Here is a 24,233-nt window from a genome sequence, read left to right as displayed (position 1 = left end):
CTCCATCTGGTCCTCATCCCCTGGGATCATAACCACCCCACTCCCTGTGGCCAGCTCTAGCCATGAAGGCGAGAGATGTGATGCCAGCACCCAGCTCAGGCAGCACACAGGAGTGCTCTGAGATGCTGGCTGGGTGCGTGCTGAGGGCAGGCAGGACAGGGTGGGGGCACTGCCACTTGGCCTTGAGGTAATGGGGTTTGTGGCAGGAAGGCCACCCCTGCCAGAGGCAGGGTAGCAAGGCATGGCAGCGAGGCATGGCAGGGGCCACTCTGAGCCCAAATGAGGGCTGCCCAGGAGCCAGCGCAGGTAGAGAAGGCGCATTGGATAAGGGGAGAAGGCAGACTGGGGAGACTGCAGGGGGCCCCGAATGCCAGTTTGAGGGCCGTGGCTGAGGACTCTGTCCTAGGGTCAGGGGGCAGACAGCCAATAGCACAGGGGCCGCAGCTCTTCAGGCCACAGCTCCTGGATTCCTTAGACTGGCAGGGTCAGCCCCAGGCCCTCTCCCTGACCTTGCAATGGGGGATGACAGTGGCTTTGCGGGAGGGGAAAAAGCCGCCTTCCCTGAGCACCACCTGGATCCCCACGCAGTGCTGTGCCCTTCATGCCCAGACCTCACTTATGCAAGGATGGGGCTTGGCAGCCCCTTTATTCAGCACATGAAGGCCCTGAGAGGGAAATGGAGCCCAAGGCCACACAGCTGGTGAGGGGAGCCCAGGTGACACTCCAGGGCCACCCCATTTCCTGCCCTCAGCACTGCTGAGAGCAGCTGGGGCTGCAGGAAGTGTGTGAGTGTGTGTGTGTGTGTGTTGGAGGTGGGGGGTTGGGATATCCAGAACCACCTCTAGCTCAGGCCCTTCCACCAGGACCCAGCTGGCCAGGAAACCCCCCACCACTGGGATTAGCAGGACCCTGGAAGGGAGGCCCTTCCTGTGGTTCCATTGCTCACTCTAGGCAGTCCTCTGGCCAGGGAATGGACAGGCTAGGGCTGGGGAGGGGACAGGGACTCACCCAGGCCCAGTTTTCACACAGCTTCAGGGACATCCCTGGTCTCACTATGGGAAGACTGAGACCCAGAGGGGAAAGAGCTTACCCAGGTTCACACAGCAAATCAGGGGCCAAGGCCACTCTCTCTACTCACTGGAGGTCAGAAAGCTGCCTGCAGGATGTTGTGTAGCTGGGACTTCTCTTGACTGACTCCCAGCACAGCCAAGCCTCCAGCATGGGATCCTGTGGCATCAGGATTTTCAGTGGCTCCTGAGCCCAGACTACAGATGGAGCCAGCCGGTGCCGTGGGTGCAATGGTTTGAAGACCCAATTTCCCCATCACCCTTCCCGCCCCACCTCACTTCAGCAGAGAGCTTGGGGTCGGGGGACTCACGGGGAGGCTCGACGGGCTCACAATCCTCGGTGCCACACAGCCGGGAGCTCACAAGGCCAGGCCTCGTGGCCACACTGGTCACTGTCTTCCTCGGGTAGCCCCGTCTGGGTGTTGACACACTTGACCAGTGTGTGACCACTGGATGCCACCACCACAGGGGCCTGAGCACTGGGGGGAGCAGGGGAGGAATGAGTGTCTCCAGGGCCAGCCCTAGCAGTGGGGGCAGGGACACCTCCTCTGGGAAGCCGTCCCTGCGCCCTGTGCCTGACTGGCCTGCCCTTGCTCCCAGCCGCCCTCTCAGTGCCTCCTGGAGGACCTGTTCCCATTCCTAGAGCCCACTTGGTGCTGGAACCCCACTCTCACTTGTGGGATCGGCTGCTGCAGAGGGAAGGGGCATGAGAACCATGGGACAGCCCTTGGGGCGGCAGGGCAGTGAGCCCCTCACACGGGACATGACTGAGAGGCCTGGGCAGGGGCCCCGGGATGGAGCCCTGATGCAGCAGTGGGCAGAGATGTGGGCGAGACACCGCTGTGCCCGAGGGACAGGGCAGAGGACCTGCCGCAGCCCATGGGCAGGAGGGGTGGAGACAATTTCACAGCCGGGGCCCAGCCCGCCAGGCTTTGTTGTTAACAGGTGCAGGTCTGAAAGCCCTAAACATGTGCTGAGTCTGTGCCAGTGTCGTGCTGTGCCCGGCCCTGTGCTTTGTTGCGTTCCTCCATTTAATCCTCCTGACCCTCCTCTCCCAAAGCGTCCCAATTTTACAGATGAGAAAACTGACCCAGCAAAGCAAAGCAACCTGCCCAGAGTCACTCAGCAGCCAGTCGGACAGACTCAAACGCTGGCCCAGCTGACTCCCGGACCCAGCTCAGGGCCCAAATCTGAGATTTCTGAACCCCTCAGTTCCAAACAGGCCCAGCAGAAGGTGTCCTGCCCATACGAGGCCCCTCTTCTGCCCCCTTCTGCCGCTGGCCTTTGCTGGGCTCCCTGATCTCCCCAAGCTCATCATTCCTGCCTCAGACTTCACACCTGCTGTCCCCCCTCGATCCCTGTCCTTGGCATCACTGACTCCTCCCTCGGGTCTCAACCCCAGACCCCTCCTCGGAAGGCCTTCCCTGACATCACAGCACACATGCCCTTTCCTTGTCTGTTTCTCCCTGTCAGGTGTGAGCACCAGCATGGCAGGGCTTTGTCCAGTGACTGCTGCATGTGCAGGGGCCACAGACAGCCTGGCTCACAGCACACACTCCACAGCTCCTTCACCCAACCCAGGACTGACCAGGCGCTACCAAGCACTTGCTCCCTGCTCCCCCCCGCAGCCTGGCTCACCTGGCCCCAGGGCCCCACCACCCACTGTGTGCAGGGGTGGGTGTTGCAGGGCCGGGTGGTGTTGGGTCTCAGTGCCTCCTCGCAGAGGTCTGGCTCTGGGCAGGTCACCAGACGCTGCTGCTCACCACCGCCACAGGCCTTGGAGCACTGGGTGGGCAGGGAAGGAGTCAGGGCACAGCCAGGGTCTGAGGGTGTCCCCTCCCCCCAACTCAACGCCCAGGCCTCACCTCCCTCCAGGAAGACATGTACCAGCTGAGGCAGGGCTGGGCCCCGCAGGGCCAGTGCACAGGCAGCTTGGCAGGTCCAGGCTGACAATGGAAGGGCCACAGTGGCCAGAGGTCCCATGTGTCCACATGCTGCATGTCCCACACTGAGGAACCTCTGCCACAGCTGTGGGAGCACTGGGGACCGAGAGACTTGTGTGGACACATCCCCACGTGCAGGCCCACAGGCGTGACCCCGTGAGGCGTGTGGCAGGAAAGGCATCAGACCCACGCCCCAGCCGGGGGCAAATCCCTGAAGAGCCCCAGCGAGAGGCCAAGGCTGGCAGGCCCCAGGCAAAAGGTGGCATGGCCAGGGGCTGCCATGGGCTGGGACAGACAGAGAAAGGGAGGAACAAGTCCAGATGGGGTCAAAGATACAGAGGAAAGGAGACAGGCCAAGCCAGACAAAGATGAGATGACTCCCAAGAGATTCGGAATCCGGTGCGATCAGGCACATAGACATGCAGCCTGGAGCCCTCCCCTTCCCTGCCGCTCTCGGAACACAGGCCGTGGGGAACCAGGGCTCCATCCCATGCCCTGGGGATGCCTGTCCTGGCTCCATCCTCATGCACCTTACTCCAGTTGCCTGAGTGCCAGGTGGCACAGGGCCACAGGTGGCAGCGGCGGGCAGGCTGGGGCCGGCCAGCGGGGTCGCAGTCCTCATCCCGGCTGGAGCTACAGCACACCGGCCTCCAGAGGGCACCCAGGCCACAGGTGGTGGAGCACTGCGGGGCACAGACCCGTGAAAGCCAGGCAGAGCCCATCCTCGCCAGGCCTCCACAGCCAGGAAACTACCCACCTAGGCTAGCAAGACCTCAGCAAGACAGGGGCCCTCTTCTGGGCCTCAGTTTCCTTATTTGCAAAATAGGCTCCTTCACCCACCTCCCAGGAAGACCATGAGAATGAAAAGTCAAATCCCCCCAGCAACCAGCCGTCCCTGCTCACATGGGACAAAGGGCCTGTGTGCCAGTGTCATTGGTGCAGAGGTTCGGGGGAGGAGACCCTGTGGGCACCCCTGACCAGCTATCCTGACCAGCCTCGTCGCTTCCCAGAGGCACCAGGGAAGGAAGGCTGGGTCCTGGTACCAGCAGCCAAATCGCTGCCTATCCCCGCGCAAAACAAGCCCTGTGGGCCTCAGCCTGCCCCTTCCCACCCCAAAATTAGGAATCTGAACAGAAGCTTGCTTCTCCTGCAGTGACCATCTGGGGACCCAGGGAGGGGGCACTAGCCAGCTTCTTTCATGCAGCTCAGACGTCTGCAGGTCACTGCCAAAGGAGGGTGGAGCCACTGAGGGCAGAGCCAGGTAGCAGTGGGCTGAGTCCAGCCTGGAGGAGCCAGACAGAGCCTCAGGGAAGCTGCTGCCTGCTGGGCAGGACTGGGCCTGGTGGCCACACAGGGACCCTCCCCACTGCACAGCTGTCTGAGCCAGCTCCATCCTGGGGCATGCTGTGCTGCCAGAGTGTGCCTGCCCCTGCCTTCCCTGAGGCCCCCTGTGCTGCCCAGGAATGGGCCCCAGGTCCCCTCATTCCCCTAATCCTGGGAACCCCCGCCCCAAGGAAGGCGAGACAGACGGCGCCTGCGTCCCACTCTGCTCATTTTCAGATGAGGAAATAGTCACCAAGGTCCTGCGCAAACTCCCTGCCCACCCAGCCCACACCACTTGCCTCGCTCCAGTTTCCCACTTGTCAGCCGGCGTTCCTGACAACCAACGGGTCCGTGGGGGGCCCCGCTTCAGCCAGGCTGGGAGGCAGTGGCTGGGTCTCAGGGGCTCTGTGGCTGTTGGCGGGGCTGTCCCAAGCTGGCATGGACAGCAGCCTAGAGCTCAGGGGCACCTCAGGGCTGAGGGACTCAGGCTGACCCTTGGGTCCTGGGTTCAGGGCAGGCTCAGGCGTGTGCCCGAGGTCAGTCAGGGTTGTGGGGAGGAAGGTCCCCCACACTGCCACAGTCTGAAGGTCCCATAAGCCTGGTCCTGGGGTTGGGAAGGTGGGAGTCCCCGGCTGCAGGGGACTGTCCTTGCCCTTCATCTCTGGCAAAGGGGCTATGGGAGGAGGAGGGAGAGAAGCCACCCTAACAGTGGGCCACAGTTCACTATCCACAGGCCCCAGGCCACCCTCCAGAGCTGACTCCCAGGCTACTGTCCCTCCTGTCCACAGCTCCGCCACGTCAGGACTAGGAGAGGAGTGGGTGCTGCTGACCGGGTACAAAGTGGGCAGCGTGGGGCTGGGTCTCGGGGGCAGGTGGGGTGCTCCGCAGCCCTTGGGTCCCTCATCATTTGAAAACCTCGTTGGTCCTGTCCTGCCATGGAGAGGGCAGCTGGCTCTGGCTGTCCTTGCCAACTGGGAAATCATTTTGGCTCTCAGGGGCGGCAGGCGTCTGCAGGCCATCAGTGGAAACCCTGGGCCAGGGCAGGCTGGGGAGCCCAAGATCTGGGGCCCCTATGGGGGTGTCTTCCTCAGGCAGGAAATTGATCAAAGGGTTCCCAGGGGTCTGCTCTGAGGGTGGGGGTGGGGAGCGGCCAGCCTGGCTAGGCCAAGGGCTCGGGGACCAAGGTCCCGTTGCCCCTTCCTCCTTGGCTGCAGGAGGCTCTGTGGCAGGCACAGGGCTACCCGTGGAGGGCGCAGCAGGACGGCTGTGTGGTGGGGGCGTCCGATCCCCTGTCCCCGCCAGGTCTAGATCGGGCTCCTCAGAGGGCCCGTAAGGACAGATCCTCGTGGAAGCTGATGAAATTGTAGTCGTAGTAGAAGTCGTCCACAAACACGGGCCCCGGCAGGTCCAGCTTTGGAGCCTCCTCCTCAATGGCGTTGCCCATGGTGCCTGGCTTGGGTGATGAGGCGGGTGAAGGGCGTGGGGCCAGGTGGCGCGGGATGAAGTCAGCCTCGTTGAAGAGCTCGTGGCTGGAGGAGCCGCTGCCTGAGCCTTCAGGGCCCAGTGTGTCCAGGGGCCACCAACAGGGTGGCAGAGAGCAGGTGACTTCGCTGGCTGGCTGCTGGGCCTCGTCACAGGGGACACCGGTGTCACTGATGCAGAGGACATTTCGGTGCTGAGTCCCTTCCTCATATGTCACTGAGCACTGCAGGGGAAGCCAGGGTGAGGGGCTTAGCCTGGGAGGCAGGCTGCCAGGGGACGCTGGGGCAAGGCTGGGTAACCTGTCCACTGCCTGATGTCAGAGTGGCAGAGACCCCAGCCAGCCCTCTCTGGCCCTTCCCAGCTCAAGGCCATGACTGTGGCCATGCTTGCCAGGGGCTTCCTGATCCCTGAGGCTTTAGAGTCAGGGGCTGGACCCTGGAATGCCCAGGTTCCCTCCCACCCACAAGGTCTCCAGGAAGGCTGTCTGCCTCCCTGTAGCTGAAGACCAAGGGTGGGGCTGGAGGCGGGCACCTTCCCATCCCACACTCACCTGAGACCAGTTCCCCACAGCCTACGTGGCCGGACAGGGCACATGGTGGTTGCAAGGGGTTTCAGTAGGGGGCCGGGGAAGGTGTTCACAGGCGGGTGGCTTCAGGGCGCTCTGCTCATCCAGCCCCACGCTGCGGATGCAGAGCACAGCCTGGCAGGAGAGGCCCCCAGGCCCGCAGGAGCTGGAGCACAGCTGCCACTCACCTGCCCACCACCTGCTGAGGGCACACAGGTGTCATCAGTATGGCATCAGACAGGTGGCATTGACAGGCTCACCAGCAGGGAGGGCCAGGCTGGGTTTCCAGGCCCTCGGGGTTTGGGCAGTGCCAGAAGCCAGTGGATGATTCTCCAGAGCTCCAAGCTCAGGTAAGTGTCCTGCCCTCAAAGTCTGGTGACAAGGCACAGCCCCTCCACTCCTGCCACCTTCCCCTCAGGGAAACTGAGCATGACCTGAGGCCTATTTCCACATCCAGGGACCCAAAGAGGAGGACCATAGGTGTCCAGGCTGGCCCAGGCTGGGGTGAGAGGTGACCGGGGGTTGGGGCTTCAGCCTTGGGAAGAGAATGAAAGCCCAGCTCCCTCTGCTCCTCCCTGGGGCCTCTGGGGACCCAGATGTAGGGGCCTGTGGCAGACCCAGGATGCCTGGGGGTGGGGAGTTGGTAGGGGATGGGGGCGGGCTCACCTGGCAGGGCAGGGCTGCTGGCTGCACTTCCTCTGGCAGTCATCGGGCCGGCCCAGGGGGTCACAGTGCTCCTCGTCCACGGGCCCTGCCTGCCGCTCCGAGCAGTACACACTCTGCCTCTGCACACCTAGGGGCCATGGCGTTCAGCCTGGGACTGGCACCCAGGTGCCCACCGCCCAAGACCCAAAGACACCCTCTCTGCCAGAACCCTCCCAGAACAGCGCCTTACTGCCCATGTCAGGATGCCTTACTGCCCATGTCAGGATGAAGGCAGACCTCCACCGTCGCCTCCTTGCTGTCCTCCTGGTTCTCACCCACCCCCTCTCCTATGTAGCTTCCCCTCTGACTGCCCCTGGAGGGGTGGCAGAGTGTGGAGGTTTAGTGGGTTGGGTGCCCAGACCCTCTGCATCCTAGCTGAGATGCCTGGGCAGCTCATTTGGCCTCTCTGAACCTCAGCGTCCTCCTCTGTGAAGTGGGAGCAACAATCCTGCCTCCTCCATGTCCTGGAGGGAGGACTGCATGTGTTCTTGCATGTGCAGGCTCGGCCCGTGCCCGGCACATCCTAGGAGCTCGATCCATGCCAGCTGCTGCTAGCATGCAAACCCAGCCGTGGCTCCTGCCACCTTCCCCTCAGGGAAACTGAATGTGACCTGAGGCCTATTTCCACATCCAGGGACCCAAAGAGGAGGACCATAAGTGTCCAGGGTGGCCCAGGCTGGAGTGAGGGGTGACCGGGGTCTGGGGCTTCAGCCTTGGGAAGAGAATGAAAGACCAGCTCCCTCTGCTCCTTCCTGGGATTGGCTTGGGTGATGAGGCGGGTGAAGGGCATGGGGCCAGGTGGCGCAGGATGAAGTCAGCCTCACTGAAGAGCTCATGGCTAGAGGAGCCGCTGCCTGAGCCTTCAGGGCCCAGTGTGTCCAGGGACCACTGACACACGGTCCCACCATCCACACCCTTCCCAATGGATCAGAGAATGTCTGGACAAGAAATGGGGCATCAATGGACAGCCCCTGCTCTCCATCCCCACACCAGCCTTGGCACTGCTCCAGTCCTTTACATTCTCTGCCACTGTCCAACCTGGGGACTTTGCACAGCCACGTTCCTCACCTTGGACACTCACTTCCATACTGCCTGTTGAGGCCCAGCTGCAGGACCCCGTCTGCTGGTGGCTCTGCCTTCTCTGCTCCACCCCCTGCCCCGTGGTCCCGAGAGTAAGTTGTCCCTCCCCTGAGCTGCCAGTCCCACATCCATCCCCCTCTTTCCTCACCAACAGAGTCTGATTTTGTTCAAGGCAGCAGTGGGACCTGCTGAAAACACACCCCACTGCCGCTCCCTTGCAACTAGGGGGGTCTGGGACACAGTCCTGGCTCAGGAGAAAAAGGCACAAGTCCCTCGCTGGGAGTCAGCCCTTTCCTCTCTCCTTCTTGCCTAGAACACTGCAAGAGCCCTGGAAGGGAGGACACCATCTGTGGCAAGCAGGAGTGGAGGGGAGGCTGCTATGGCAAGGATGGTGTGGCTGAGGGCCAGTCAGCTCCAGGTCCCGCCAGCTTGGACTGTGCACCTGGGACTTCCTGCCTGAGACAAAGAACCCCTGTCTCTTCCAGCCACCACAGGGCACTTGCCTCTGCAGACGCTCCTAAGTGGTCCACCTGCGAAGCAGCCAATTTGCTGAAAGGCAATTCCCCAAATGTCTAGTGCTGCAAATGTATTTGTTGGTTTTCACGTTTGTCCAATTAAAGACACCTGTATTAGGCCAGGCACAGTGGCTCACGCCTGTAATCCCAGCACTATGGGAGGCCAAGGCGGGCGAATCACCTGAGGTCAGCAGTTCAAGACCAGCCTGGCCAACATGGTGAAACCCCATCTCTACCACTAATAAAAAATTAGCCAGGCATGGTGGTGCGTGCCTGTAAATCCCAGCTACTCGGGAGGCTGAGGAAGGAGAATTGCTGGAACCTGGGAGGCGGAGGCTGCAGTGAGCCAAGATCGCGCCACTGCACTCCAGCCTGGGCGACAGAGTGAGACTCCATCTCAAATAAAATAAAATAAAACAAAATAAAATAAAATAAAGACAGCTGTATTAGATAAAATGGGTTTCCTAGCTTTGGAAGGTAACTGCCCAGTTCTCCATTTTCACTTTGTCATCATAATAGCATTTGAAGGAATGCTCAAACGTCTGTATATCAGATTCCCGATTCTGAGACCCTGAGGATACTGAGTGTCAACGATGGGAAGACTGAGGGGGAAAGGGGAGGACTAAGAGACAAAGGGGGAGACTGAGGTGTGGGGAGATCGAGGAACAGCAGGGCAGACCGAGCAGGGGGAGGAAGACCAAGGGGCATCGGGGGGGACTGGGGGGCTGGGGGGAGACCAAGGAATGGCGGGGGAGACCGAGCCGGGGGAGGAAGACTGAGGGGCGTGGCGGGGGTACTGGAGGGCCGGAGGGAAACTGAGGGATATTGGGGGGAGACCGAGGGGTATGGGGGCAGACCGAGGGGTATGGGGGGAGACTGAGAGGCATGGGGGGAGACTGAGGAGTATGGGAGGAGACGGAGGGGCAGAGGGGAGACTGAGGAGCAGTGGGGAGGAGACAAAGAGACAGAGAGGGGAGACTGAGGAGCATGGGGGGAGACTGAGGGAAATATGGGGAGGAAGAGTCGGAGTTAATGAAATTGCCCTACTTTTCATAAATAGTTCAGGGAAATAAGTCATGTGGTGAGGGGCCTGGGCTGGTCTCCGGGACGCAGCAGAAATGCAGGCACAAAACCTGCCGGAGCTGAGCAAGGACAAAATCAAGGGGGAGCTGTGTCCACTGGAGGGAGAACGCCAAGAGCTGCAGCACACTGAGCACACGCCGCGAGCCAGCACCCACCTGCCTCATCCATTTACCCTCCCAGTGGGCCTGGGACATGGGGCGGTTGCTAGCCTCATCTCACAGATGGGGAACTGAGGCTCAGAGAAGCAAACTTCTAAACCCATGGTGGCCCAGCAGTGAGCTGGGAGCTGAAGCCGGTGTCCCTGTCCAGAGATGAAGCCCCTGCTGGCGGGGCTGTGCCTGCCCCACTTCTCACCTCTGCCACAGGTGACTGTACACTTGGTCCAGGGCCCACAGTGCCAGGAGAACTCGGGCGGCGGGACCTCGCCATGGCCACCTGCCTCCCTGTGGATGGTGTACTCGTAGTGCACCCCAGGGTTGCTCTCCTGGAACAGCAGCTGGGTGGGCAGGCGGGGGCCCGTGAGCACGAGGTGTCTTCTCCATCCACCCAGTCTTAAAGGAGCTGACCCCAGCCACCTCTGTGAACTGCAGCTACACAGTTGGGCCATCTTAAAGATGGGGAAACCGAGGTAGAGGCCTCAGCAGGAGGGTCTGGCTCAGAGCCAGGCTCTGTGACTAACCCAGGGCTCACTCCTCCAGGACGAGACCTACCATGGGAGGTGCTGGGCCTGGGGACTCCACCTCTGCTCCCCACGCCTGGGCCTCGGGAGGCAGGCACCTGGATCCAGACAGGCTCCTTGGTGGGACCCGGGGACGTGAGGTTCTCCCAGTTGCCCCTGCGTGCGTATGTGACGGTGGTCCCTGCCACCTGGTAGTCCCCGTTCTACTGGATGGTCCAGCCACCATTGAGGAAGTACTTCTCCGGGTCCTCGCTCTGCAGTGCCAGGAAGTTGGCAGCCTCAGCCACCTCCTGGATGCGGACCTCACGTGTGCTGGCTGGGATCAGCCCCACGTCCACATACCCTGTCAGGCAAGGGTTGTGCCTGGGGTGAGAAGCTTGCTTATCCCCACCTGCTCCCCTCACATCTCTCCCCACTTGCCTCCGCCTGCTGATGCCAAAGATTTCGCCATTAGCTTTAAAGTCTGAGCTCCCCAAATTGCTCGGATCTGTCATGGGTCACCAAAACCTTGCGGAGGTGCCACAAATCCTGACCCCGTGGCCATGCCCCGTCACTCCTCTCTTGGGGACCTAAACTGGTCTCATCATAAGGCTGGATCCATCCCCTACTCTAAGGGCCGGCTGGCATTCTCTTTCTAAAAAAAACCAAAGTGCCCAGGCCTTTCTCCTGGGACACCCTCCTCATCCCCACGCAGCCTGCTTTTATTCATTCACTTCCATCACACCCATCACGTGCCGGGCACTACTCTCAGCACTTCACATGTGTAAGCTCATGGGTAATGGCCCTATAGCATGGTACTATTGTTAACCCCATTTTACAGATGAGCAAAGTGAGGCAGACAGGGAGAGTAACGTGCATGAGCGTCCTGCTGCAATATAAGCAGCCTCCAGGGCCAGTGCTTTATCCACCACACTGCACTGCATCTCTGGGATGAAATCTAAGCTTCTCAGCCTGGCACTCAAGGCCCCATAGCTGGCCCTGCCTTCCCTTCTTGCCTCCAGGGCTCTGGCGCAAGCTCTTTCCTCCATTTGGAATGCCCCTTCCATCTCTTCTGAGTTTTATGATTCAGCTCAACTTCCGCCTCCTGCAGGAAACCTTCCCTGACTTCCCCAGGCCAGGACCTTCTTCCTCAGTGCTCCCACAGCCCTCTGGGCCTCCCTCCACTGCACTGATCACACCAGAAGGTTCTGTCCCCCTTCAGGACTGAGCGCTTCACCTGCATGTCCTCATCACCTAGCACACAGTCAGTACTTCAGCAACATGTGCAAAACAGACCAGAGGTGAGGGCATGGAGCTGGGGGTCTCAGAAGATTCAGGAGGAGACGACCATTCTTTGAAAGGCCCAGGGGCCACACACAAGTCGGGGTGGCCCTGCCTGGGGTCTCTGGGACAGGAAGACTCCCCATGGGGACAGGTCTCTGCGTGTGGGCCAGGGGTCCCCTGACTCCTGCAAGAATCCACCCCAGCAAGCCCTCCCTGCTTAGCCATCTCTAGGCTGGGTGGGGGCCACGAGGCCAAGGACAGGGGCCCGGGGGAGATGGGGAAGGGGCCACCAGGTGAAGAGCACACCCCTCCCCACAGTGGTCCCACCCCATACCCAGGCCCTCGGCCTCCTCGAAGGTCCCACTCACGGTGTGGCAGGTGGAGCCGTTGCCGTGGCACACGCCACAGCGGTCCTCCATAGTGCCAGAGTCAATCTCAAAGTCACAGCCCCACGTTCTGCAACACACGAGGAGGGGAGGCCCCTGGTGCTGGCGGCCAGCCCTCTGTGGCCCCAGCCCCGGGGGCCAGCCAGGGTCAGGAGAAGAAAGCTGGGAGTGGGGGTCGGGAGGCCTCTCTCTGGCCCTGCCCCACCCCAGCTGTGCCTCTGACCCAGGTGAACTTCTCTACCTCCCTGAGCCTCAGTTTCCTCAGATGTGAGACAGGGAGACCCACCCCTCCCTTAAAGGCATGTCATGAGCATCACAAGAGACAAGAGAAGGGAAGAGTTCTGCAAAGCCTGCGGGCAGGCAGGGGATCTGACACGCCACGGGCTCCTGAGCAGCGCGTGCAGGGAATTTCAACGTCAAAGGCACTGGGGGTTGGCACCTCCCTCCTGGTCCTCCTCGGAGCCCAGGCCTTGATACCCCAGTGGTTTAGAGGGCAAGAAGCAAGGACAAGTAGGTGGCTGGAGACATGGGTAAAGAGGAGAGGCCATCGTTGTTATTAAAAATAAGAATATAAATTGTTACCAAACACTGAGGCCTACTCTTCGGGGCTCAGAGCCCTTCATGTCACCTGTGCCACCTCATTTAACCCCTCTATCAGGGAGCAAACCACTGCCTGGGGTCAGCCAGCCAGCAAGAGGTCAAGCCACTGCCTGGGGTCAGCCAGCCAGCAAGAGGTCAAGCCACTGCCTGGGCTCCGGTTTCCTGGCTGGGGCGGTGCTGGTGCAGGCATCCAAGGAGACGCAGTGGGGCGAGGCCTGACTGGGGGGGGTCCCCAGTGCCAGGAGGCGTGGTAGGGGCTTTGCCTTAGAGGTCATAGAGGGTAGGGGCTGGGAAGCCCAATGGTAGAGCATGGGGAGGGTGGCCCGAGGAGGACCAGGAGAGAACCTGGGGCCCGCCAGTGGGGCTGGGGGCAGGCAGTGCTGGGAGAGCCTCTTCCTAACCAGGCACACCTTACAGATGCCATTGATGCAGAGGTCCCGGCTGGCTCGGACCTGGTAGCAGGGGGTGCCATCAACCACGGCGTCCCGCAGCTTCTTGGCAAAGTACTCATTCGCGGGCCGGCAGTGCAGCTCACAGGGGTTCACTGGGGGCCCAAGTAGAAGAGTCATCAGCAACAGCTGGAGCGGGAGTATGGAGGCCACCAGGAAGACCCCTCCGTGACACACATCCATGGCAGGCTGGAGGCTCCCAAGCAGCACAAACATGCTGGAGGCTCCGGCTGGGCTGGTAGCTATCTGCAAGGCTGCAGACTGGGGAGCTAGGGGCGAGCAGCAGCCCCAGGGGACAGTGGGAGTGGCCCAGGCTTGGGGTGGAGACTGGGTCTCCTGCTTGCATCACAGGGTAACCTTGGACCCACACCCCGCTCGCCGCCCTCTGAGTCTCAATGTTTCCATGGGAGGCAGCACTCACCGTCATTGACCATGGGCACCCATGTGTGCAGCTGGCCCTCGTAGAGCATAGCGTCAAAGTGGCTGCACTGGACGTGGCGGAAGGAGGGGCGGCCAGCGGGGCAGGCCTGCAGGTTGCAGAGGCGGAAGCGCTTCCGCTTACCCACACAGTATCTGCCTTTGTATCTGGGCCTGTGGGGAGAACCGGGGTGGACCCCAGTGAGGGCCCAGTGAGTGCTACTGCATGGCCACAGCCCAGAGCAAGCAGCTTCCTCCTGCACCCACACCCCAAGATCCCTGCTGCCCAGCTTTGTGCACGCTGCTTCCCTCCCTTGGGTTGCCCACCCTGTGGCCCAGACACACCCTCCCTGTCTGTAGGGACCTGTGGGGAGGTGGCAGCAGGAAGCCTGAGCTCTGCCCCCAACCTGCTGTGTGATCGTGGACAAGTCTTCGGCCACCCTCTGGGCCTCAGTTTCCTCATGTATAAAGTGGGGTTGGGGCTGCCCCTGCAGAGGGCTGTTGAGAAGCTGGGACAAGCTGCAGGCATGACTGGCACTGGCTGGAGGGACTAATCCGAGTCTCCAGCCCATGACACCAGCATCCTAACGAGCCCTTGAGTCCTCAGCCTTCCTCCTGGTGGCAGTACCCCCAGCCTGGGTCTAAAGGAAGCGCCCAGGGCCCCAGCCAGCTGAAAGGTATGATGGAGCACAGCTCCTGAAATCCTCCACATTTAGGCCAGGGTCGCTGGCCTCCACTCAGCTCAGACCTGGAGGCCAGGAGGCAGGGAGGGGCACAGGCCAGTCTTGGGTAAGCGCAGGGCCCTGGGTGGGGCCGACTGTGAACCCCATGCCTGCCCCGGGTGGCCTCCTGAAGTGAAGATCAGCCGGGTAGTGCCTCGGTCTACAGTACCACTGGCCTCTGCTTCTCACCAGATCTTCACACCCCCTGCGCCCCCCCATTTAGATGGGGAAACAGAGATCCAGAGAGGTGAAGTCACTCACCTCAGGCCACCCCTTCAGTGCTGTCCCATCCTCCCAGCTGCTCCATCTCATCTCAGGCCCTTGTTGTGCCTCTGAGGCCACCAAGCCCCTCCTGCTGAGTGCCCACTACAGATGAGCTGCAGGGCTGAGGGGCTGGCCTGCATAAACTGCATTTGCCCCTGACTACAACTTTACTGGATGGGCACTGCTATTATACAGGTGGGGAAACGGAGGCCCAGAGAAGGGGTGAAGAGGGGATTCGAACCCTGAGCCATCTAAGGTCCAGGGCCCATGCTCTTCCCCACTGCCCTCTCCTGCCTCCTTCCAGCCAGCAGCTGCTTTGCCACGTGGCCTCTGCTGAGTCTCTCCAGTCTCTGGGCCTCAGTGTCCCCCTTTCTGCAAAGGGGTCAGCAGTGGGGACCCTGTCAGCCCTCAGAACACTCCTTGAAAGTGACTCAAGGTGGCCTGGACACTCAGACTGACCATTATGAGGACACTTCTAAGAGCCAGGGGCTGGCACAGAGCCAAGCTCCTGCAATCGGCTGACTGCCTGGGTCCCTCTGTCCCATTGCCCAGGGCACCCTGGGCCCCACACTCACATAGGCTGCATGCACTGCTGCTTGGCTCTCTGTATGCCCACGCCACAGCTCCGTGAGCAGATGGACCAGGCGCTCCAGCCAGACCAGCCACCATCCATGGCCTCGGGCTGGAAGCCCACAGGTATGCACTCCCCATTGAGACACCACTACCGAGACAGACGGAGGTAGAGCCACCCCACCCCCAAGCCTATCAGTCATCCTCACCCTAGTGAGAACAAGGTGTGTGAGAATGCTGCAAAAGGCACAGAGGGGAAGGATGGAAGGTGAGAGAGGCCCCCTCGCAATCATCACAATCATCTGTGACCCAGGCCACATGGAGGCGCTGAGCAGGGAGTAAAACAGCCCACGTGCTGACTCAGCTGAAGACACCCTGGAGAATCATGGAATCAAGCCCTGGCCCCAATGCCTCCACTTTGCAGACGGGGGCTTGGGCTGCAGAGGGCATGGGGCTCTCTGTGAGCCGGGGCTGACTCCAGGGCCCGGTCACAGCAGGAGGTCTGGCCTCTCACACATCCACTGCCGGGACTGGGAACATCGCCTACCTTATTCTCCCCACACCGGATGCCGTCCACGGCTGCATCCAGCTTGGAGTGACAGGTGGTCCCCACAGAGCACCAGAGTGTGTGGCAGACATTCTGCGAGGAGGAGGGCATGGGCCATAGCCTCACCCCCTCCCCAGTGCCGCCACCCACCCTGCCCCCCTCCCTGTCCCCAAGGGTCCCTGGGCACCCCTCCACATGGCAGGGGCCCACAGACCCCCAGAGGTCCCTTCTTGTGTGTCTGCTCCCACCTTCCTCCCCAGACCACGTGGTGGTGTGGGGCGCCCGGGGCTGCACTGCTCAGAGTGGTCCTCAGCTGTCCACACCTCTCCCGGCCCAGCGCCTCCTCTGGAAACACTCCTGTTAGAAGATCACTTCAGGCGATCTTCGCCAGGATAAATAGACCCTCCCCACAGGGGTTCCTTTTCCCTCTTATGAGCCAGCTCCAGAGAGGCGAAGGGACTTGCCCGAGGGGTCACAGTCGGTCCATGGTTGACCCAGAATTCAGAGCTGGGTCTGTGGCCGCCCATCCCTGGCCTCTCCCACAGGCCACTTGACGTCTCACAGTGTCACTCAGGGGCGTAGCCCAGCCCAGGCGAGGTTGCTCCCAAGCTGGCATCCACAGGCTGGTGAAAGCTGTCCCCTAAGCCCTCCTGTCGGGTCCCCACACCCCCACACCCACACCGGCCCCACTCACATCCATGTCCTCGCAGAAGGCAGAGTAGGCCCCATACTGGAGGTGGCACTGGTGGCTCACATCATAGAGGACCCCAGGCAGCACTGATGGGAAGTCAATGATGTCCTTGGCAGGCGGGTCATCCAGGCACAGGCTCCACCCATGGCTAGAGATGGGACGGGAGGATGGAGGGGGGCGCAGCCTGTGAGACCCATCGGAGAAGCCTCGGTGGGGCCAGGAGAGGAGGAGAGGTGGGAGGGGGCACAGAGCCCTACAACTGTAGGAAACTCCAGCCTCCCCGCTCGGCTCAGCCGATCCTCCACCTGCAGCCAGTAGCACAGGCCCTCCCAGCCAATCTCATCTCACCTCCTGGGCACTCCAGCTGGCTAAACAACCCCAACCCCAATCCCAGGCCTCTGCACACGCTGCCAGGGCCCTTCCCTCAGAAGGCCTCCTGGACCGCCAAACCTTCATGTGGCCCTGCTCTCCGACCCTGCAGCCTCCGTGTCTGAGCCCAGACCCTGGAGCCAGGCCCGACAAGGATCCGGAGAATATCACATCACAGTTGACACAACAGAGCCTCCGACGGCCCCACCCAGGCAGAGACCTCGGGTCATCTGTGGAAGGGCAAGGTCTGGAAAGCAGCCCCTCCCCTGGGAGAGAGCCTAGGGCATCCGTGCCTGTCCCCTGTTTCCCCCACTCCCCAACAGGGCTGGCCTCCAGCCTCTGTCATACCCTATCTACTCCTGCCTTCCTCCAGCTGGCATTCCCTGGCAGCGGTGGCGGGGAAACTGGCAGACACGAGCAGGTGCCATCTGTGTCCACCACACGCTCCTGCTGCTGCGGTGTGGCGAAGACAAGGCTGCCCAGACCACCACGAGGCAGCGAGCGTGGAGTCCGGGGCCCTGGGGAGGGCGGCCCAGGCCCAGCTGGCACCTGCTTCTGCCCCTGCCTCACTCTGTACAGCCCTCAGGCATGCTACTGCTTCTGGGACCAGTGACCAGCCTGCTGTACCTGCTGGACCTTAGGCGGCCACTACAACGGCTTAGCAGCAGGAGTGCCCTGGCATGCTGACCAGCCCACCCACAGCTCATTGCTGTCCTGGAGGAAGGTTTGGGGCCCTCTGCGGGGCAGCAGTGGCTGGGGAGAATTGAGCCATGCAGACATGCGGGGCTGGGGATGACCCAGGCAGCCACGACTTGGGCAGAAGCATGGAAGGAGGCAGGACCCATGGGACCTGGGGCCTCTAGCCAGGCAGGGGAGATGGGGAGGCAAAATCCCTCCAGTTCTCCAGTCTGGGTGGACTCAGGGTAGGTGGTGCCAGGCCAGATGGCTGGGATGAGCATACAGTCCTGATTGGGACAGGCAGGGGGTCGCACAGGGAAGAAGGGCAAAGGTGATGGATCCTGGAGTCCAGCAGGGAGAGAAAGAGACACTCCGAGATGTGGAGAGGCTGGGAGAACACGAAAGGGTCAGGAAACAGGGCCAAGAGTGCTGAAGACAGGTGTGGAGAGAGGCTAGGAGGGTGGATCAGACCATGGAATCCCGAAGCCCAGATTTCAGAGGAGGGGGCCTGGCAGCTGGGAGACCCAGGGTGGGGTGGGTGGTCTGTGTGGTCTCCTAAGTCCCCTGGCCAGTGACAGGCCCCTGACTCTGCCCAGAGCTGCAGAGAAGAAAGCCAAGGTGACCAGACTTCTACTGAGAACCCTGGAATCCTCCTGGAATCACTCAGACTGCCCATCATGGCTGGAAACAGATCCTCTAACATGGGCGTTGGCAGATGAGCAGCTGCTGGATGCAGTCCTAGTGCCCAAGATGACCACGTGCCAGACTGGTCCAGGGTGCTGGGGGCATACCCTCTCATTTGCTCCTCACAACATCCTGGGCAGACTCTACCATCATCTTCCCTCATGCACTCAGGGCCCATACGTCACTTGTCCCGGGTCGCGCAAGAGGGACGTGATGGCCAGGACCTGGAGCCAGGCCCAGGCTGCCTGCACCAGGCTGTGTCTACTCACTGGGCTACCCCCAGTGCAGGGCTCCTCCCATTCAACTGCGAGCCTGGCCTCAAATACTTCACCCCACATACAAGTTCAAAACCATGGCAGCGAGGCCTGGCAGGGAGAAAGGAGTGTCCCAAGTTCTCCTGCGGCTTGGGGCTCCCTGAGCCTCCCTGGGCCTGCACCCGGGGCAGAGTGTCAGCCGGGGGTGGTGGGGTCAGCTGGCCCTGGGCTCCCTCCTTCCCGCCATCATTCCGTGGCTCGAGGAGGTAGACTGGGGGCTCACCCATCCCAGCCAGGGGGTCCTCTGACCCAGGGGCTGAGGGGTCCAATGCGCCTCATCCCGGCACCAACAGTCCCTGGGCTGCAGCCGAGCCCTTTTGTTTCCTGGCTGCCCCAGTGCTGACTCGCTGCACATGTGGCTCCTGCAGGCCTGCTGCTGGGCAGCTGAAGCCGCAACAACCTCTCAGCCCACCCTGGATGTTGGGAGAAGTTGGGAGCATAAGGTGACCCTCACAGAATCCACTGCCAGAATCAGGCCCAGGTGCTGTCTTGGGAGTCAGAAACTCAAGGTGGCCGTCAGCCAGCCCTTCCTTCCTCTGGCAGGCTGACTGCCAGGTTCTCTGCACTGCCGACACACCCGGATCCCCCAAACCATCAGCCCTTCCCCTCCACGCCCCTCCTTAAGCTAACTATAGCAGGGCTGGGCAGTCCCACAAGAGGTCAAAGCAGACAGTAGGTGACTCCAGTCAGAAGCTTCACTCTCACCTCAAGACTGCAAAGAGCTGCCCACCACTGACAGGAGAGACATGTGGGCCCGCTCCCCTGGCCACCCCTGGGATCTGGTCATGGAGTCACTGCATGGGGTGTCCATGGGGTGAAGTGAAGGACCCCACATGTTACCTAGCCTGCCTCTCTCCCTGTAGAAATGCTGGCTTTGAGGAAACCAGGGACCAGGGCCTCCCCTCCTCCCCACCCAGGTCCAAGTTGACACTGGCGAAATGCTGTGACCTCTCCCCAAGGTCCCATAAAGCACCTGTCAGCCCAGAAAGGTTCTTAGAGTTCTTCAGGTCAACCCTCTTGGACAGGCCAGTCTAGGTTCTTAACCACCAAACAAAACTCTTCTCTGCTTCCAATCCCACCCCCCACCCCAGTAATCCCTCTTCCACTGGAGGCCAGTATCCTTGCTCTTACATCCCTAATGGACCTGGTCACATCCCTGCTTAAGCCCCACAGTGAGTGGACTTCTAGAAAAACATGGCACATTGAGCAGACAGATTTATCGCTGCTTCCTTCCAAGACTCCACTATAATGACAGTAGAGGAAATAAACAAGGCATAAATCCATAAGGGGTGATGATGAGTAATGAAGGATGTCAACAAGATTCTGGAAGCTGGGAAGCAGATGGCCAGGCAGTAGCTGACTTGCTAGAGTGATGAAAGCTGAGAGTCAGATTCCTGCAGGGGGGAACCACCCAGAAGCAGAAGCCCGAAAAGGCTCAGGAACTGAGTTTGCAGGGACTCCTCAGGGCCTTACGGCCAGGAGGGCTGAAGACAGTAGGGCTGAAAGTCTGTAAGAACCGATCAGACCCTAGATCCCCTCCCCAACCCTGAGTAGCCAAGTGACGGCCACCTGCCACCCAGCAGAGGGCCAGGGATCACTTCCTGGAGAGGGTGAACCAGGAGGCTCTGGCCCAGGAACGGTGGACACACATGAAGGCCCAAGGCAGAAGGACCTACAGAGAAAAGGGGACAAGCAAAAGTCTACACATTGAAGGGTAAGAAACACGCCAAGCCCCTTTCCCACTTGGATGCTGGAATGCTGCAGCCAGACATACACTCTCCCAGGAAAAGTCGAGAGGATTCCTCTCAGGAAACTGAATCACTCAGAAAAATGACCTCAGATAGTGACATTAGAGGATCTCCCCAAAATAGCCCCATCTGAACCAGTCCTTCAGCAGTGACTTGGAAAAGTCCTGCCCAAGTCCACAAACTGCCCAATTAGTGTCTCTGCATCTCCTTGCTATATATGAAATACAGCCAATGCATTTTAAGAAAACTTTTCTTTGAGACAGAGTCTCTCTCTTTTGCCCAGGCTGGAGTACAGTGGCAGAATCTTGGTTCACTGCAGCCTTTCCCTCCCGGGTTCAAGCGATTCTCCTGCCTCAGCCTCCTGAGTAGCTGCAATTACAGGCATGAGCCACCATGCCCAGCTAATTTTTTGTATTTTTTTTAGTAGAGACAGGATTTCACCATGTTGGTCAGGCTGGTCTCGAACTCCTGACCTCAAGAGATCTGCCTGCCTCGGCCTCCCAAAGTGCTGGGATTACAGGCGTGAGCCACCATGCCTGGCCAAGAAAACTGTTAACATGAAACAAATATATTTTTTTAAATAACCCAAAGGAAATAAAAACATTTCAGGGAACAGAAGAAAAAAGTCAAATCCGTGTAAGTAATAACCTCACAGAGATAAGAGAACACACTGTACCCACAAAACAGGAATAGGATCAAAAGGTGCACAGGTTGAGTATCTCCAATCCCAAAATCCAAATGCTCCAAAATCCAAAACTTTTGGGCACTAACATGATGCTCAGAGGAAATTCTCTTTGGAGCACTTCAGATTTTGGACTTTCAGACTGGGGATTCTGAACTGGTAAGTATAATGGAAATACTCCAAAATAATAAAAAAAAAAAATCCAAAATCTAAAACACTTCTGGTCCCAAGTATTTCAGATATGAGACACGCAATGTGTATTTAGTGAGTGAGAAAGTTCAAGAAATTAAAAGTACAATGAAAAAAATCAAAAATTTAATAGAGGGATTGTAAAGTAGAGTCAGATACCTCCTAGAAAATAGAGATGGCTAGGCACGGTGGCTAACGCTTGTAATCCCAGAACTATGGGAGACTGAGAGAGGATTCCAGGAGTTCAAGTCCAGCCTAAGCAGCATGGCAAAACCCCATCTCTACAGAAAAATTAAAAAATTAGCTGAGTGTGGTGGCATACACCTGTAGTCCCAGCTACTTGGGATGCTGAGGCAGGAGGATCATTTGTGCCTGGGAGCTCGAGGCTGCAGTGAGCCATGATTGTGGCACTGCACTCCAGCCTGGGCAACAAAGCGAGACTCAAAAGGAAGGAAGGAAGGAAGGAAGGAGGGAAGGAAGGACGGAAGGAAGGAAGGAAGGGAGGGAGGGAGGGAGGGAGGGAGGGAGGAGGGAAGGAGGGAGGGAGGGAGGGAGAGAGGAAGGGAGTGAAAGAGAGAGAAGGGAGAGAGGGAGGATAGAAAAGAAAAGAGAAAGAGATGAAGAAGTGTAAAATGTTTAAAAATAAGAAAGTGAGAGAATAGCTGAATATTAAGGGTTCCAGAAAGAGAAAATGTAAGAAAGTTATCAAATCAATAATACACCAACAGTTCAATCACTGAAGGGCACAAGTTTCTAGATTAAAACAGTCCAATGAGTGCTCCCTCAAATTAAAATAGACCAAGGCATATATTTAAAATTTAAAATCACCAAAAAGAGAGAGAGAAAGAGAAAGAGTCCTAAAAGCTTCCAGATTTTTTAAAAGGTCACATTCAAATCCAAATGGTATGGGACCTCTTCAGAGCAATGTTGGAAACTAGAAGACAACAGAAAAATGCCTTCAACATTCTGAGGAAGAGTCACTTCCAACCCAGAAGTTGATATCAAATCAAAATATCAATCAGATGTGAGGGAAGAATAAAGACACTTTGAGACAGGCAAACCATTTACCTCCATGCGCTCTTTCTCAGAAAGCTACTTGAGGATGTGCTCCACCAAAACAAATTAAAAAAAAAAAGGTACCTGCCCATAAAAAAAAGTAGCATGGGATCCGAGAAACAGGACCCTCCATGAATATTTTGGGGCAGGCATAGAAAGCATCCAGTCTAAACTGGAGGACAGAGGGAAGTTGGGAGGAGGGTCCAGGAAAGAAGGGAACGGCTGGATTATCTGGTAGAGATTACCTTTGGGAAAACTGGATTAAGAGACATCTTATAAAACTGTTAAAGGATCTGGAAGGCCTGGAGAAGCAATGAAAACCAAGCAAATAAAAGCTTGTTCTTACAAAGAAATGCCGTCTAGATGGGGCACAGTGGCTCACGCCTGTAATCCTAGCACTTTGGGAGGCTAAGGTGGCGAATCACTTGAGGTCAGGAGTTTGAGACCAACCTGGCCAACACAGAAATCCCGCCTCTACTAAAAATACAAACATATGCTGGGCGTGGTGGCAGGTGCCTGTAATCCCAGCTACTTGGGAGGCTGAGGCATGAGAATAGCTTGAACCTGGGAGGTGGAGGCTGCAGTATGAGCCGAGATTGCACCACTGTACTCCAGCCAGGGCAACAGAATGAGACACTCTCAAAATAAAAAATAAATTAAAAAAAAGAAATGCCATCTTATTACAACACTTAGTTCAGCCATCAAGATTTACAGCCATAATAATGAAAATGCAGAATATGGACTTAATCCAAGTATGTTAACACTAAATTGGGATGAAAGGTGAGGGGACAAATGTACGTATAGGAAGTGATGCAAGGGTGCTAAATCCCAACCTTCTAGATAATATCTAAACTGGAAAATCAATAAATGAGAGTCTAGCAGTGCTTTTCGGAAATAGGAAAGTAAACACAAGAAAGAGCTAAAAGTGTTAAGTTTGAAGGTGTTTGCCTAGCAAAAAGCAATGGAGGGTGGGGAGAAGTGGGGCAGGTATGCAATGCTCTGCTGTTGCCATCTTCTATTCTTTTTTTTTTTTTTTGAGACAGAGTTTTTTTGCTCTTGTTGCCCAGGCTGGAGTGCAGCAGCTCAATCTTGGCTCACTGCAGCCTCCACCTCCCGGGTTCAAGCAATTCTCCTGCCTCAGGCTCCTGAGTAGCTGGGATTACAGGCATCCGCCACCACACCCAGCTAATTTTTTATATTTTTAGTAGAGAGGGGGTTTCACCATGTTGGCCAGGCTGGTCTAAAACTCCTGACCTCAGGTGATCCACCCACCTCGGCCTCACAAAGTGCTGGGATTACAGGCGTGAGCCACTGCGCCTGGCCAGTAAGCAAGGTCTGATGGGACAAAGAAGCCTGTGTCTGAACAGAGGAGACACAGGCAGTGTCTGTGTCCACCATTCCTTGCTGCCCCACTTGCATCTAACATTTACTTTGGTCCATGTCAGAATCTATAATGTGTAGGAGTTCGGTGAGACTCAAAGCAATTAGAAGATAAACATGTTATGTCAACAACTGAGTAAGGGACAGGGGGCACTGACAGGCCCAGAGGCTGCATTTTCCATTTGAACCATTACTTCAAATGCAGAAAGAAGACAATGACCAAGAAGCCCCATCATCCTTTCTCTCCCATGTTAACACCCCTGTATTAGCCAACTGCTATGCAGAAAATGAAGACATGGGAGGAAAGAGAACCCCATAGTTCCTTCTCCTTTCAGTCTTTCCATCTTCATCGGTAAGAAAAGGTAGAGAGCCTGGGTAGAATGTGCACATATCAAGGAGTGAGATCAAACCAATTGAGATAGTTTTATTCTATCTCATCATCTAGTAAATATCAGCTACAAAAGACGAATTGTGTAATTTTGGTTACCCTGCATACAAGTTAATACAGCTGACTTTTGAACAACGGGGTCCACTTATGTGTGGATTTTTTTCCACCTCTGCCACCCCAAGACAAGAAGATCACCCCCTGCCTTTCTCCTCCCTCCTCAGCGTACTCAACATGAAGAGGATGAGGATGGAGATCTTTATGATGATCCACTTCCACTTAATTAACAGTGAACGTATTTCCTCTTCCTTATGATTTCAATAACATTTGCTTTTCTCTAGCTTACTTTATTGTAAGAATATAGTATATATTATATATAACATACAAAATATGTATT

At 58.0% G+C, this 24,233-nt stretch overlaps 1 pseudogene across 1 annotated transcript in view, besides 4 other annotated features; it reads right to left on the bottom strand.

Moving 5' to 3' along the window:
- ADAMTS7P1 (ADAMTS7 pseudogene 1) overlaps positions 1–24,233 on the bottom strand; it is a 41,279-nt pseudogene that overhangs the window by 1,693 nt on the left and 15,353 nt on the right. The window contains exons 9-23 of the transcript NR_045529.3: positions 16,355–16,499; positions 15,661–15,753; positions 15,119–15,264; positions 13,562–13,731; positions 13,100–13,235; positions 12,040–12,161; positions 10,541–10,785; positions 10,118–10,259; positions 7,047–7,173; positions 6,366–6,579; positions 4,633–6,038; positions 3,541–3,693; positions 2,933–3,106; positions 2,706–2,852; positions 1,379–1,546 (exon numbers count right to left, since the gene is read on the bottom strand). The product of NR_045529.3 is annotated as an ADAMTS7 pseudogene 1 (transcript). The remainder of the gene's footprint in view (positions 1–1,378; positions 1,547–2,705; positions 2,853–2,932; positions 3,107–3,540; positions 3,694–4,632; positions 6,039–6,365; positions 6,580–7,046; positions 7,174–10,117; positions 10,260–10,540; positions 10,786–12,039; positions 12,162–13,099; positions 13,236–13,561; positions 13,732–15,118; positions 15,265–15,660; positions 15,754–16,354; positions 16,500–24,233) is intronic.
- Positions 2,442–2,942: an enhancer, noted in NCBI's record as "H3K4me1 hESC enhancer chr15:82622283-82622783 (GRCh37/hg19 assembly coordinates)". NCBI's record gives its function as "activates a minimal SCP1, AML or CMV promoter by ChIP-STARR-seq in primed H9 embryonic stem cells {active_cell/tissue: H9 hESC(primed)}" and the evidence as "EXISTENCE:reporter gene assay evidence [ECO:0000049][PMID:30033119]".
- Positions 2,943–3,443: an enhancer, noted in NCBI's record as "H3K4me1 hESC enhancer chr15:82621782-82622282 (GRCh37/hg19 assembly coordinates)". NCBI's record gives its function as "activates a minimal SCP1, AML or CMV promoter by ChIP-STARR-seq in primed H9 embryonic stem cells {active_cell/tissue: H9 hESC(primed)}" and the evidence as "EXISTENCE:reporter gene assay evidence [ECO:0000049][PMID:30033119]".
- Positions 13,072–13,572: an enhancer, noted in NCBI's record as "H3K4me1 hESC enhancer chr15:82611633-82612133 (GRCh37/hg19 assembly coordinates)". NCBI's record gives its function as "activates a minimal SCP1, AML or CMV promoter by ChIP-STARR-seq in primed H9 embryonic stem cells {active_cell/tissue: H9 hESC(primed)}" and the evidence as "EXISTENCE:reporter gene assay evidence [ECO:0000049][PMID:30033119]".
- Positions 13,573–14,073: an enhancer, noted in NCBI's record as "H3K4me1 hESC enhancer chr15:82611132-82611632 (GRCh37/hg19 assembly coordinates)". NCBI's record gives its function as "activates a minimal SCP1, AML or CMV promoter by ChIP-STARR-seq in primed H9 embryonic stem cells {active_cell/tissue: H9 hESC(primed)}" and the evidence as "EXISTENCE:reporter gene assay evidence [ECO:0000049][PMID:30033119]".

The sequence above is a fragment of the Homo sapiens genome, chromosome 15, assembly GCF_000001405.40.
Source record: "Homo sapiens chromosome 15, GRCh38.p14 Primary Assembly".
Classification (NCBI taxonomy): domain Eukaryota; kingdom Metazoa; phylum Chordata; class Mammalia; order Primates; family Hominidae; genus Homo; species Homo sapiens.
The sequence above is the reverse complement of the archived record's forward strand: the minus strand, read 5'-3'. Positions and strand labels throughout refer to the sequence as shown.